The sequence below is a fragment of the Homo sapiens genome, chromosome 6, assembly GCF_000001405.40.
Source record: "Homo sapiens chromosome 6, GRCh38.p14 Primary Assembly".
Lineage (NCBI taxonomy): Eukaryota > Metazoa > Chordata > Mammalia > Primates > Hominidae > Homo > Homo sapiens.
This window is the reverse complement of record NC_000006.12, coordinates 162,248,174-162,263,731: the sequence shown is the minus strand read 5'-3', so window position 1 is coordinate 162,263,731 and position 15,558 is coordinate 162,248,174. Positions and strand designations below refer to the sequence as shown.

The following is a 15,558-nucleotide window of genomic DNA, read 5'->3' as shown; positions in this document are numbered from 1 at the left end:
TCCACCCACCTAGGCCTCTCAAAGTGCTGGGATTAGAGGCCTGAGCCACCGCGGCCGGCCCTATGTAGTAGATATTCTGAAACTAGAATTCCATTTAGGGTAGCCTAGTTCTTGTGCTAGCAAATAATCTGACTTTTAATTTTTATGCTACAAAATGTTAAAGTCTTCTGTTCCTACGTGTCAATATGTAGATGCAAAACCTTTTCGTAAATGTTAGCTGGTTTTCATGGTTAAATCGTCAGAAAGAGAATGAACCCTGGGTGGCAAGAGTGTGCTCCTGTCTTGCTTCCCCACCAGTGTAATGATGTGTGTGTTGGTGCCCGTGGAGCGGTGTGTGTGGAGCCTACTCAAACGCATTCATTTCCGATGCTTTAAAGAAATGCCCTCTCATTGATAATAACTCACTTTCTGTACTTTTGTAAAACAGAGATGAATGACATATCAATTCTGATGTCAATCAGTTTTACTATTTAAGAATATTTTTCGTAGCCAGGTGTGGTGGTGCCCGCCTATAATCCCAGCTACTCGGGAGGCTGAGGCAGGAGAATTGCTTGAACCCGGCAGGCAGAGGTTGCAATGAGCGGAAATCACACCACTGCACTCCAGCCTGGATGACAGAGTGAGACTCTGTCTTGGGGGGAAAAAAGGAATTATTGTTTTCACTGTGCTTATAGATCCAGTTTGGTAATTATTTTTTCCTGCTAGATTTTATGTCCTTTTGAATATGACGTCAGCATTCTATTGTGTTTCACGTATTCCCAAATTTCTGTTTCTGGCCCCAGTTCAGTGTTGTTTGTCTACCGTGTGTAGTGTGTAACTGCTGTGGGCAAAGGAGCACCTAAGTTGGTCAGTTACATGTCACTTTTGCTTCCCTTCTACCACGGAGGGCAAGTTAAACTCTATCTCGCATTTCATGTTTGACATTTCCTTTTTTTTTTTTTTTTTTTTTACCTTGCTCCCAAACAGAATTGTGACCTGGATCAGCAGAGCATTGTTCACATTGTGCAGAGACCGTGGAGAAAAGGTCAAGAAATGAATGCAACTGGAGGCGACGACCCCAGAAACGCGGCGGGAGGCTGTGAGCGGGAGCCCCAGAGCTTGACTCGGGTGGACCTCAGCAGCTCAGTCCTCCCAGGAGACTCTGTGGGGCTGGCTGTCATTCTGCACACTGACAGCAGGAAGGACTCACCACCAGCTGGAAGTCCAGGTAATTGGAATGCTCTAAGATTATTAAAGCATTTTGTTTGTTTGTTTAGTGCAGTCTGCATGGAGCATGGCCTCACCGGGTGCATATTTAGTTTATGATACGTTTTGGATTGGAGTCTCTAATTCACTACAAGGAGACATCACTGTAGGTGGAGTACTTTGATGTAACATTTGAGAATGCATTTATTGTAAGTACTATGAAACAGGTTTTCATATTGAGATTAAATATAAGAGATATGTTTCTAGTGATGTAGAAAAATTCTAAAAAGCAGAAAGAACTCTAAAGCTAATCGAGCCATTTGTAGTTTCTAAAGCCAGATATGCCAATGGCAATGACATCCTTAGTGTGAAAGGACTCTTCCTTCTCTCTATGCTACCACCCATTTCAAAATGCTTTTCTTTGGCAAAGATTGTTATTGTTTAGTTATTTTAAAAAAATTAATATGTGCCTCTTAGTCTTTTATTCTCTAATCTAAATAGTCAAAGGTGTAATAGAATTAATTTTTACTGTGTTTGACAGAAGACACAAAATAATCACAATGACTTTACAGGGTAGAAGTTGATTTTCCTCCCACATACAATAGATCCTGGCAGTTGTGGGCTGGTATGGCCTTCACAGTGTCAGAAAGTTCTGGGGCCTGCAAGATGGAAGCCTAACATAATAAGAAATGCCTCCTACTAAACTTACTAAATAAAATTTAAGGAACTTAAAAATTTTCGATGATCTTGCAAAAAATAAAAAAAGATAATTTCCAAGGACAAGTGAAAATGTAGAAACAACATCTTTAAATACAGGAGTAGATAAGCCCAGAAAGTAAGGCATTAACTGATGCTCTGGTGATCTTGAGATGATTGTGGGAGGGAAAGAGGCTCTGCTTCATGTGAGCTGGGCACCTCAGGTCTGGAAAGAAAAATTGAGAAATGGAAATAAATGTCAAAAATGGGGAAAAATGAGATAAATCTAAACCCCTGCAATACTCTTGTGACCAGAATAATATATTAATATAAATATCGAACCCAAGCCCATAACAATTCTGACGTTTCAACCAGAGTATGTATAAGATCATTCTGACACTGACACCTCTAGAGAATACTCATGCTCCAACATTATAAACCAAACAATGGAAAATTCCACCTTGAGTGTGTATGAGACCAGAATATGCCACCCCAAAATATGCCACTTTAGCATAAGTATTATTTTAAGCTGATTATTTTGAGAAACAGTAGACACAGGAAAAGCTCTAAAAACAGAGTAGAAGTGACCCTTTTGTAAGGGAAATTTATATCTACCAAGGAAGTCTCCATTTGTAAGGGTGTCTCCCTCTCCTTACTAGGATGAGGAGGACAGAGTCTCTGGAGACTCTGATCCTTGAGAAGGCACCAACTGAATAATCTGCCTAACAAACCTTACTCTTGTCTTCTCCTCTCCCTTTCTTCCTTTGCCATTGAAGATGGTATTCAAGCCTGAATTTTAGGCACCTCTTTGAGATTTATGCATTTTTTCTGGGTGTCTCACATGTACAGTTGTCCCTCCCCATCAACAGGCAATACGTTTCAAATCCCCCAGTGTACGCCTGAAACCAAAAATGGTACCAAACCCTATATTTACTATGTTTGTTCCTGTACAACTGTATAACAGATTGGATTTATTATGTTAGGAGACCTATCTACTAGTTCTTTAATTTGATTTCCCAAAATAAAATTCTTACTAAAAATAAAAAAATCACATTGTTTAGAGCAAAATTAAACCTTTACTTATTATCTGAATATTAAAAACAATTTGAGCACAAGAATCCTGTTGTGTACATATTCATGTTCTTTAATACATTTCCTAGTGCATCTGGCTCTACTCTCTTATCAACCATATTCATCTGAAAATTTTAGTCTTCTTATTTTGTTTTATCATAAAATTGCCCTTGGTCTTCTCCAGAATTTTCTTTTATGAGAATGAACTTAGAATTATTGACACTTTCAACTGACTCTCTCTCTCTCTCTAGACCATAATATTTTAAGAAAATATAGTATTCTCTCTATATAGGGTCTGAAGTACCAGTAGGCACTGAGAAAATTCTGCTAAATGTCTAATATTCTCTTTATATTTTTAAATTGAAATGTGTGATTATTTCAACCCAAACAATAGAGAATAAATTCTAGTAAATTTATGGAATGTGGTAAATGACAGCAGCCTTCAGAGTACTGTATGATCTATGATGATGCGCTGTTTCACCTTGACTTTCCACTCATGTCTGAGTCACATCTAACCTCTGATCACCCTGTTTCTCATTTACCCCTCTGTCTTGTGGCCTGCCAGCCTTGTGCTTTTGGCAGGCTAGGGACTGGCTCAGGCAACTCTACATGGTGCAGTTGGGGGCTGCAGGGTTGCCATCCTAACACTTCTCCCTGCACCACTACACACTGGGGGCAACTTCCTGGCACCCTACATGCTGCTACTAAAAGGCCTCTGTAAAGATATGTTGCATCTGTAAAGATTGGGAAAAGAGAGATGGTGCATCCCAGGTCAACTTTCAGATTTAACTCTGTGTTAAACTAACAGCTAAACTACAAGTAATCCTCTCCTGCTCATTAGAACTGGAGGGAATCCTTTTCAGAACTCTTAGGACTCTCCCTTATTACTTGCTATTTTGTACTCCAGTTCTGACTTCACCTTTTAATCTCTTTGAGGATGGAGTTTTTGTCCAATTAACTGTAGTTTTCCCCAAAATCTCTTAGAAGAGTGGTGATACATGTTTACTAAATTGCTTCAAATTGTAAACATAGTCAGTCATTCAACAGAACTCCTGTGCATTTAGCTTTTAGAGCGAATGCTTTATTTAAAATTATACAGAGAAATTGAGATTTCATCTCTTCAAATGTCTTGGTTCATTCTTGGTTTGAGTTAAGACTGAATGGAATGATTTGAAATGACTATATGCAAACAGTATGCCTATATGATTATTTTTCTTCACTAAAAATGATAGCGTAAAGTTACTAGAGCAGAGATTCACAGACTCTCATGTGCAGAATTATCTTGCATGTTTTTCCATGTTTCTTTGATGGCCAGAATGGCGAGAAAAAAAATCTTCTTTCATTCTTTTTCTGTGACCAGAAATTTTGATGTATTTGTCTGGGGGTAGAGGCCCCAAAATGTTGGTACTGACCATACTCTGAGAAACTCTGCCCTATGGCTAAGGTTTTCCAGCCTTACAATTATGGATCCTACCTGTTGTTCTCACGGAACAATCGGACGCTGGGTGGGAGAACAGAGGCAGGTCGGTGAGAGGTGAACACACCAAGCCAATCACAGCAGCCTGAGACCATTCCTCTTTACGTACTTCACATATTAAACACATAAAACATCTATCATTTGAAAAGATGAAAAAAATCCTTGGTTATACAATGTTTGAAAACCTGTGCCTCAGAAAAAGAGATTAAAAGAAATCCCAATTTTCTGTGCTTCCAGAGTCTTCAATTTTAACTTCGAAGAATATAAGTGCTGGCTGGACGTGGGAGGGCTCTAATGGGTGAATAGCTGGGCTGTAGCCTCATATGTTGTCGAAACAAATGGAAACTTCTGAAACCCGAGAAGGTGCCTTTCAAGTATTTTTAGTTGGCAAAAGATAAGTGGTCAACATGAGAGGTGATAACATGATGTACATGAAGAACCAGTTACACTGTTGGTACTAAGAACGCAAGCATGTCACACTAAAGACTTGTAAGAGGACGTCAAAGAACTGGAACGAGTCATTGAAGTAGTTTTTACAGCAGTGCCACTCAAGCTTTAGTGCTCATCAGAATCACCTGAGGACCTATAAAAGCACAGATGACTGGGCCCAGACCAGTTGGCCTTGGATGGAAGCTGAGAAGTTGCGTTTCCAGCAAGCTCCCAGGTGATGCTAACACCGCGGGCCCAGGGGCTGTGCTTTGAGTAGTACTGCCCGAAATAGTAAAAAATAGTATTCCTTAAAATATGGTCAGTGAATAAAATCTATTTTTACTACATTTTCAATAAGAACGTTGAGCTGCACCTGGGCTCCAGGGTGCCTGTGTGTAAATTACCTTCATGTGTTATTGGTGTTTCCTAAATGAGGCGCCATTCATCATCTCCTGACAGATGAGATGAAGCTATTGGACCTAGCAAAAAAATAGGAGGCTCCTCCAATATCCGTCATACAGTTAACGAACTACATAAACAAATAACGATTGAGTCCTTACTCTGTGCCAAGCACAGTGCCAGGTACTGGGATGTAGCAGAAAATAGAAACAGACAAGATGCCTACCTCAACGGAGCTATTCTATTTGGAGCAGCTAGTAAGTGTGTGTTCTATCGAGAAACAGCAGAGTCAAGGGGACAAAGAGTATTGGTGGGGAGTTCCGTAATATACAGCAGCCGCGAGGCCTGTGTGATGAGCTAAACTGTGAGGAGGGCACCCTCAGGGAGCATCCATTTGTGTGCCAAATGGCAGAGGCGACAGCAACTCGTGAGCCCCAGGCAGGCCCCCGCCCAGAAAACGCAGCAGCCAGTATGGGGTGGAGCTTGGAGCAGGTGGAGCTCGGAGAAGAGGATGTCAGAAAAAGGGCAGGGTGGAGAGGTCAGGTAGGGTCTGCTGGGCCCAGGATTTGACCCTGTTGAGAAAATTTGACTTTTGAACAATGGAGTGACATGATCTGACTTCAGGAAGCCTCATGCTGGCTGCTTGTGAAGGAACTGCAGGAGGAAAGGGTGGAGGCAACACAACCCGGAAGGTTTTCAAATCCTAGAACTGCTGCACTGCCCAGAACATCGCGAACGGGCCATACCTGCAGGCGGTGTCGGTGAGTGCTTGCCGCAAACCTGGCACTATAGAAACCCTGTTTCCCTGAAATACCTCTTTTAATTCCTTGCAGCCTTGTAAGGTAGACCATGTTCATATCCTCTTTATAGATGAGGAAACTGCAGAGACCACTTGAGGAACCGACCCAGACAATTCAAGCCGTACCCAGGGACCGTCTCACTTCAGAGCTTATGTAAAATATCCAGTAGCCTGTGTTTTCCTGAATATAGCTATCAGGTGAAAGGAAATTTTGCATTTCCTCTAGATGTTTTGGTTAGAAAGTAGATATAGTCTTAAAATGGACCTTTTTGAAGAGTCATGTTAATTGATTTCAGCCAAGTAGTCAGATTTTAAAACTATATCACAAGGTATACTACTTTTTCAGAATTTTTTGCTTTTGAGAAAAAAAAAAGAAAAACTGTGGCCACGCTGGCCAGTCTGGTCTGGAACTACTGACCTCAGGTAATCCACTGACCCCGGCCTCTTGAAGTGCTGGGATTACAGGTGTGAGCCACCACACCCAGCCCCATGTTTTTGCTTATATGCTTCCAAAAGGAGAGGAGACATGTCATGAAATAGAGCGGGAAGGAGTGTCAGCATGCAATTGACAAAAAGCTGCGGAGAGGAATACCATGCCGGGGCAGCACAGGCTGAGGCTGGCCCCGTCTACCTTGTGCTTTTGTTCGTGCCTGTTTGGGTTCATGCCTCTGTGGGAATTGTTTTGCTTTTTGTGGTTGGTTATCTGTTTTGAAACATAAAGAAATAAAAAGTAACTGTGGGGGAGAGTAGGTGAGAAATGACAGCATTGGTTGTTGAAGTTAAGTAAAGTACTTGTAGGGAGCCTCAAAATGTTTTGATTTTTCTGAAGTCACCTCTGCAAGGTCATATTGTGATTTCAAGGGGAAGGGAGACATTGCATTCAAGACTCCATGAGGCCTGGCTGGACAGTGTGCTCTTCTAACGACAGGCCTCTACAAATGGTAGTGTCTGGGTGTCCCTCTCCTGGAGGCCTACATGGCCAGTGAAGCAAATCATTTACATCTTTTACTCTTCAAACCCTGAAGTGTTTCAGAGGACACTGCCCATATGCCAAGATGGGGAGATCTGCACTTGACAGGAATGAGCGTGGAGGCAGGGTATTTACAGCTGGGGAGGTCCATCTTGGGAATCATCTGAGCATCGTAATTATTGCAGAGTCTGCCAAAAATGCAGGCAGGCTGCTGGATTCCACTTTCTTAAAGGGAAGATAAAGAAAAAATTTCAAATTAAGTGGTAGAATTTAACTGTCTGTAATACACTCTTTTCAATCTTTCTAAATTTGTTCTGAGTAAATAAGGACTAATGGAAATTTTGTGAAATTTTATAGAAGGTGTTATTTTGTATGACCTGTAGCTTCCAAACATTTCATACATAAATCAAGAATTTATGGTCTACTTATGTAAGAAAAACAGAATTAATAAAATATCTATTATATAATAGAAAATGAAACCCTTATGACAAGGAAAATATCACTACATTCTTTTTTAGAGTACTTTTTGATAATTTCACAGAATCAGGCCCAAACTCCTACACCTTCTTCATCTATTTGACTATAATTAATTTTCCAAATGATACCTCTGATGCTCTGTAAGATCTTACAATTCTTCCTCAATCCCCAAAGGTTGACTACCTTTGGTGTTAGAGGTGTGTTATTAGATTCTAATTCTTTGCAAATTAATGCTCAATCTTTTCTGTGCATGATAATTAAACTCACTAGAGTCCCAGTGCATCAGTGGGGTTGTGATTTGCTTCCTGTAAGAAGGGAATCAAATGGCCGATAATTTACTTCAGTGGATTAAATGAAAATCGTTTGAACCAGTGTTTACCACAGTTCCTGGTATATACTACGCACTGAATACAGAATTTTTGTTGCTAGAAAATGCAGTCAAAAAGGGTGACAGACATTGATTTTGAATCCTTGAGCGCATTCATGGTACCTGGGCTGTGATGTGTCTGCCATGCAAATGCTAAGCCGACTGGCAGTAAGTGTGGGCCCCGGAGCCAAGCAACTTAGCCCGTCTTGGCTCTACTTCTTGCTACCTCTAGGACTCGGAGAATTTACTTTCTTGCAGTCCAAAGTGTGATCTGTGGGCCAGCAGCAGCAATTGGGAGTTTATCAGAAATGCAGAATCATTGGCCCCCTATCAGACCTACTGAATCAGTAACCTTCATTTTAATAAGATCCTCAAGTGAATAGTGCACTGTTTTGTTTTGTTTTTAAACATACCAGGCCACAGTTTCCCCATTTCTCATACAGAGATAAGGAAAAAGTACCTAACTCATGAAGTTGATGTCAGATACTTCGTGACAAGGGCCTAGAGAAAGGCCTGGAATATACCAAGTGCTGACTATCTGTTATCCATTTCAGTTATCCCTTTGCTTTCTAGTTCACATGTACAAAGGCCCAATATTGTGCTCAGGCTCTAAAATACTACCTAGGTTTACAGATCCAGGGCTACCTGCCTGAATTGCCCCCAGAACAGGTGCTAGGTCCCCAACCCATACTTGGGAGACGTCAGGTTACTCTAGTTTTGGGGTCAGGGTTTTTATTTTATTTTATTTTATTTTATTTTATTTTATTTTATTTTATTTTATTTTTGTATGAATCTCTTTGTTTACTTAATTTTAAAGTTTGATCACCTCCACCACACATTTGGAGCTAAATTAGAATAGTGGGTGCTCTATGATAATGATGGATGGCATGAGGAATAATACTTCCCATGGCTGTTTTTCTGGAGTGTTACATTTTCGTTGTTTTCCAGCCCTGAATGATGTATGGCATATGTATTTGTTTTCCATTTTATGTTGGGAAATGTAGTACTCTTTTTTGAGTACTTCATCCAAAAAGTGGATAAATTTTCTACTGGGACTTGCTCAAAGGACCCTTTGGCGATGAGTGTGTACCCCACTTCATATTTTGAAAGAGAAGATTAGCTAGGGATAGGTCACAGATATAGGTCACAGGGGGCTTAACAAAGCTGGCTCTGGCAGTGGATGAAGGATGGGGGCAGTTAGGAACAAGTTAGCTTTCAGCAAGTGGGTGTTCATTGTGCAATGCAAACACAGCTCTTATTCTAAGTGAGCAGGAAGACGGTGGACACAGATTCAGATTGAATCAACTGAGCACTGTTTTCAGATCAGGGTCAGTGCCTCAAACAACACACTGGGAACTGAGTCCTGCTAATGTGTCTTTTTGGATATTTCCTTTTTTTTTTTTTTTGAGATGGAGTCCCACCCTATCACCCAGGCTGGAGTCAAAGGTGCCATCTCAGCTCAATGCAACCCCCACTTCTCAGATTAAAGCAATTCTCCTCCCTCAGCCTCCAGAGAAGCTGGGATTACAGGCACCCACCACCATGCCCAGCTAATTTTTGTATTTTTAATAGAGACAGGGTTTTACCATGTTAGCCAGACTGGTGGCAAACTCCTGACCTCATGATCTGCCCACCTCAGCCTCCCAGTATTTGGGATTACAGATGTGAGCCGCCATGCCCAGCCCGTCTTTTTGGATATTTTCATGATTCAAATACATGGATCTTTACCTAGTCAAAGACGGTCCTTCCTTAGCTGCAAGAAGAAAGTGTGTATGCATCTTCATGAAGTTGTTCTGTTTGGAGATAAGACACTCTTCTCTAACCCCCTGAAAACTAAGGCAAACATTTTAATCTAGAGCGATAGCTTAGGAAAGTATGATTTGAAAGTTTTCACAGATTGTTGTTTGCCATGTAATTTCTTTATTGTTACAAAGAACATAAAGTCACAGCTTGGTGAGTGATACTCTGGCCTGAGTGGTTATTTTAAAAAGCTGCTTATTGTGTGGACTTTTTTATACCAATAAAAGATTTTTGATGATAAATAGCCAGCCAGACTCTTTGATTTCTAATTGATGGATATGAAGTTGCCTCTTTTTTAATAATAGTTGACTCATTTAATATTTTTTTACTTCATTAACTCTCCCATTGTGGCATCATTACAATTTTGGTGGTGTCTCATATTTAACAAATGAATACAATCTTGGGGAAAGGTGGACCAAGAATTCTAGGACTAGAAGTTCCTACAAATAGTGAGGAAACATACTTCAAATTGAGCGTTTAGGATTTCCTTTTATGAAAATGAGAATGAGTATACCTTGCATATTTTAATTAATACGGTTAGCATAGTTGCTGTAACAGTTATTTATTTTGGATTTGTCCATTTGTGCTGGTAAAGTAGAACCATAGCTTTTATTCATTTGCTTAATCCATTCTCTTCATGCCAAGAAGAAATGTTATGTCCCAGTAAAATATGGACATCTTCAGTGACAAGCAACAGCAGTCATTTAGTGGGTTGTATGATTGCTGCTTATTATGGAGAAACAGATTAGATTAGATTAGATTAGATTAGATTAGATTAGATTTGTTGCCTGTTGTCACCAGCATGCCTGTTTCGTTAACAGAGCCATCCACTATTTTTCATACAGGTGATGTTTCCAGTTTCTCTTTCAATTACCATTTCGATAGATATGCTCCTCTCTTGGACTCCACGGCAAATAATTTTTCTTGTTTCTGTGAAGAAAGAAAAAGTACTCTCTTAACATAGTTAATTTACCAGGTTACTGTAGACAACAGCGTCCTGGCCACCAGAATAGCACACGCAGGTGGTAGGCTGCCCGCTGGAAGGCAGGCTCCAGGAAGCAGGGGCATTTCCTCTCACTCTGGGCTGTTGCAGTACCTAACACAGTGCTGGGCACATTGTTGATGCTTACTAACTTAATAATATGTGTTAAATGAATGAAAACAACATTTGTTTATTCACTCATTGATAAGCTTTTTGAAAATGGGAAATATAGTTCATTCTCATCCAAGATTCCCAATTGTGGGTGTCTTAGCCCCTTTGGGCTGCTATGACAAAATACAAAATGAGTCAGTGGCTTATAAGCAACAGATATTTATTTCTTCCAGTTCTAGATGCTGGGAAGTGAAAGAACAAGGCACCTTTAAAGCTGATGTCAGCCGAAGGCTGCTTGCTGGTTCATAGATGGTGCCTTCCAGCCGTGCCCTCTCATGGTGGAGGGAGCACAGCAGCTCTCCAGGGCATCTTCTGTAAGAGCACGTATCCCATTCACGGTGGCTCCATACTCATGACCTAATCACCTCCAAATTTCTTATGTCTGAATGCCATCACATTGGTGATTAGGTTTCAACATCTGAATTATTTGGGGACAGAAACAGTCAGACCATAGCAGTGGGAGAAGTTTGCATTCCTGAAGCAGGGTCTAGCTCTTTTGTCAGAGACAGACAGATGACTTAACCATTGCAGTCAACACTAGAAGGTACCCTGACTTCAAAATTCTATATACAGATAGGCAAACCTTATTCCTGAATTCTTCACCTGACAAATATCCATGGGAGGTTTATGTTGCACCTGCCCCCAATACAGTGATGTATCGTTTAGTGCTACCATGTTTGAATCACAGCTTCCTAACAGCTACATTGGTTATTTCCCCAAACATTAAAATTCAATGTGTGACAGCTCTAAAAGATAAGAGTCAGCATGTTTCCTTCCCTCTTTATGCACACTTGCTTCTTCATTTCTAGTTCTTTTCATGTGCCCTAGACTTTTCTTACTTTAAACTGATAGGGAATTATTTTAGAATTCTCACAAGAGAAAATGCAATTTCGACCTTTTGACTTAGTCATTTATACTCTCAGAGTTTATGATAAAATTATATTACAGATATACACAGTAGATTATCTAGAAGGATGTTCAACACTGTTTATATTAGTAAAAAATGGAAAACTATCAAGAGGTACAACCATAGGTTCTGAATGTTTGGCAGTTCTATAAAATGAAACACTATGGATCCATTGAAGATGATGTTGAGAATATTATTTAATGGCATGGAAAGACACCACATGACAAAATTCAATTCCAAATTACTGAGTAGTTTGTGATCTTACTCTATAAAAAATAACTAACCATATATATCCCCGTTTATGCATGTGCATACATAAAGAAGAATATTAAAATGCAGATGCAAGATTTAATAGCAGTTTCTTCTTGTGATGGGATTGTGACTTATTTTTATTTCGAATATTTGGTTTATATGAACTTTCTAGAATGAATATGTATTACTATTTAAGATAAGAAAGAAATTCTTCAACTGCTAAGCATATCTAATATACTGGATCCCAAGGTCTGGAAATGTGGCTGCTTGGAGACTGTAACTCAGCACTCCCGCCTAGTGGGCCCCGGAGTGACTTCATTTCCTTAGGGCCTTTTACATAACCTGGGCTCCCCTTTGATCATCATATTCCATAATGGTTGAGGCCTGAGAATCTCTATGTTGAAGGTTTCACAGGTGATTCTGATGAGCAGCCAGTTTTAACACTTCATGTACTAGTGTTTTCCTGTCTCCTGATCCTCCCACTCTCCCCTCTTTTCAGGTAGAGTGTCTGGATCATTCATCTAAACCTATTAACTAGGAGTACGTTTGTGGCCACTCAGATTGTGGTCTCTTAATACTGTTTTTAACTAAAAAAGACAAGGAATCATTGAAGAATAGAAGATTTTAGGCCTGGGACAAATCATATGCAAGATGAACCTTGTGTATCTTGTGTGGCTATCTTATTTGAAAGCTAGTGGAGATTATGAAATCAGAAGGGACATACTTGAAGGACACAGGGGCTAATGAAGATTCAGTGTCCCAAGATGGGATAATCCAAGATGAAAACAAGTGTAATCTAAGACAAAAAAGTTATTGAAGACTTAACAAGTCATAATTTTGCTAAAAAACCCAAATACATTAGAAACTCCTGGAAATAACTAGAGCCCTAAAATCAAACTCAGGAAATTGATAATTAAAAAAATAAAATAAGGGTTTATCTAGCTTTTCCTGTAAGAATTCTATTTCAAGGTAACCAAATAGCCCTAGTAGTTGAGGAAAATTTTTCTTTACAGAGAAGTTTCAGACAATAATTGGAGATGCATTGCGAAATTAGATATTCACCATTTTGCAAGTCCTACTTTATTCTGCCAACAGATATAAATAGATGAAACAATTAGATGAAAGTGAATGGGTTGATATAAGTGAAGGGAATCTGGCTGATGCCATGTGATCAATCTTAGGATCAGTGGAAGTGGGACAACCAGCTAGTTACACATTATTTATAATTGAATCTGGGGGATGGTTACTCATTATACAACTCTCTGTACTTCTGTGTACTCATCAAAGGATCAAAGGAAAAGTTCTTTCTAGCATGTGTGTGTGTGTGAGAGAGATAAATAAATGGGAGGATATTAAACCATTGACTTTGGGGTTATCTGTTACACTGGATGGAAATCTTTACCAAACAAAAATGTACAAGGTATCTCAGCCTCTACAAAGTGGTACAGCTCCCTGCCAATAGGAAAACAAGCTCAACGCTGCACCAAAAGGACATCTAGTTGTCTATTTGGCCCATTTCTAAGTTGTGGCTATTTTTTTACACTCCATTCCCTGCCCCCCCCCTTATAAATAATCAAAACGGTTTTCATTTGTTTGTTTTTGAGACGGAGTCTTGCTCTGTTGTAACCCAGGCTGGAGTCCTGTGGTGTGATCTCGGCTCACTGCAACCTCTGCGTCCTGGGCTCAAGCGATTCTCCTGCCTCAGCCTCCGGAGTAGCTGGGAGTACAGGCGCCTGCAACCATGCCCGGCTAACTTTTGTATTTTTAGTAGAGACAGGATTTCGACCTGTTGGCCAGGATGGTCTGAAACTCCTGACTTCAAGGTGATCCCTCTGCCTCGGCCTCCCAAAGTGCTGGATTACAGGCGTTAAACACTGCACCTAGCCCACAAAGGTTTCGTTTTGTTTTGTTTTGTTTTGTTTTAATCACAGAAAAATGCTATTTTCATCCAGATGAAACATGGCCTTATTTTTTACATAGTTCCAATGAGACTGTTAATTAACCAGATAGGCCTGCTTGAGTTTGCTTTACAAATCTATAGCCATATAATTTGACCCAGATAATTAATTCTGCCTGAGATTTTTTTTTAAGGAATCTTAGATTTGACTTTTAAAAGCCTTTATTATTTGCTTTTCTTTCTCAAAGCTCGGGAAACAATTCCAAGACATTCTCTCCACCATATTTTGCCTGCACTGTATATATAAATTGGGATGAATTCCTTTCTTCTTGAAGTTCTCAGGAACAGGACTCTAATAGCCAGGTAGTAAACCTGATTTGTCCACTGGGCTTCGTAGGCACTAGCTACGTGTCTCGTCAGTTTTCCGGACTAGCGTGCCGCTGTGTTTGATGAAGTGAGATTTATTCTCATATATAATTCTCCATGTGTATCCTTTGTTGCATAATCAATTTGTTCAATTGTATCCTGGTAAGATGAGAACAAATCCTAATTGAACCTATGTTAATAACTATGTTCTCATGAAAAAGTAAGGAGAATCAGTAAAAGTATTTCTTTCTGCCTTTCGAAGGATGCTAAAAATCAGATACTACTTACAGTTTTTTAAATTTTATATGCAAAAGCAGCTGGTGGCTCACGCCTGTAATCCCAGCCCTTTGGGAGGCCAAGGCGGGCTGATCACGAGGTCAAGAGATCGAGACCATCCTGGCCAACATGGTGAAACCTCGTCTCTACTAAAAATACAAAAATTAGCTGGGTGTGGTGGTGGTGCACCTGTAGTCCCAGGTACTCGGGAGGCTGAGGCAGGAGAATCCACTGAACCTGGAAGGTGGAGGTGGCAGTGAGCCGAGATCATGCCACTGCACTCCAGCCTGGTGACAGAGCAAGACTCTGTCTTAAAAAAAAAAAAAATTATATACAAAAGCAATAGTCTATTATATCCAAAGTGATACTGATGAAGAAGAAAGAGAACTTCATATATCCATAAAAATTAACATTAAATGCAATACTAAAAACATTCAAAATAAGTAGCCATAATTTAACTCATCAGTTCATTTGTTCTTGTGTAATTAATTGTTATTTTTTGGATCTTGGGTTAGGTGCTAGTTTCATGAAGAACATCTATTTCCAGACTAAAATAAGTCCTGGAAATTCTGATTCATTCCCTGGTACAGTCTGAAAGTTGTTGAGCTGATGTCAGCTCTAACGCCAGTACCCAAGAGTCTATTCTTTGAAGTATCAGTAGTTCAGAGTATCTGGCACACTCCTTTCTGAGAAGTCTGGAAACAGGAGTATACGCTGAAGATACAACCCCAGGCCTGTGGTTTATAGCACAGTTCTCAGGCAAGCATCAGATGGAGACAGAAACCAGTTTGATACTAATAAAAGGCTGGATTAATTACTACAGTGACCAGCAATATCAGAATGACGAGTGTAAAATAACCCTTTGTGACACAGTGTATGACTATTTTATAAGAGTTTGATCAATGTTTCTCCGGAGAGTAAGAACATATATATAATGGACAGCATGGGCTCTGATGACTCTCCTTGGTCTTCCCATAAAATGTTCGATTAGTAACAGATTTCTGTGCATAACATTTCATGTACACAAACTGAACCCA

At 39.9% G+C, this 15,558-nt stretch overlaps 1 protein-coding gene across 6 annotated transcripts in view; it reads left to right on the top strand.

Moving 5' to 3' along the window:
• Positions 1-15,558, top strand: part of PRKN (parkin RBR E3 ubiquitin protein ligase) — a 1,380,350-nt gene that overhangs the window by 464,035 nt on the left and 900,757 nt on the right. For 5 of the 6 annotated variants that reach the window (XM_024446449.2, XM_011535863.2, NM_013987.3 and 2 more), the window contains one exon: positions 967-1,207. The exons of the other annotated variant lie outside the window; for it this stretch is intronic. In XM_024446449.2, coding sequence (XP_024302217.1) covers positions 1,033-1,207 — 175 coding nt within the window. In that variant the 5' untranslated portion in view covers positions 967-1,032. The remainder of the gene's footprint in view (positions 1-966; positions 1,208-15,558) is intronic. 6 annotated transcript variants of the gene reach the window in all.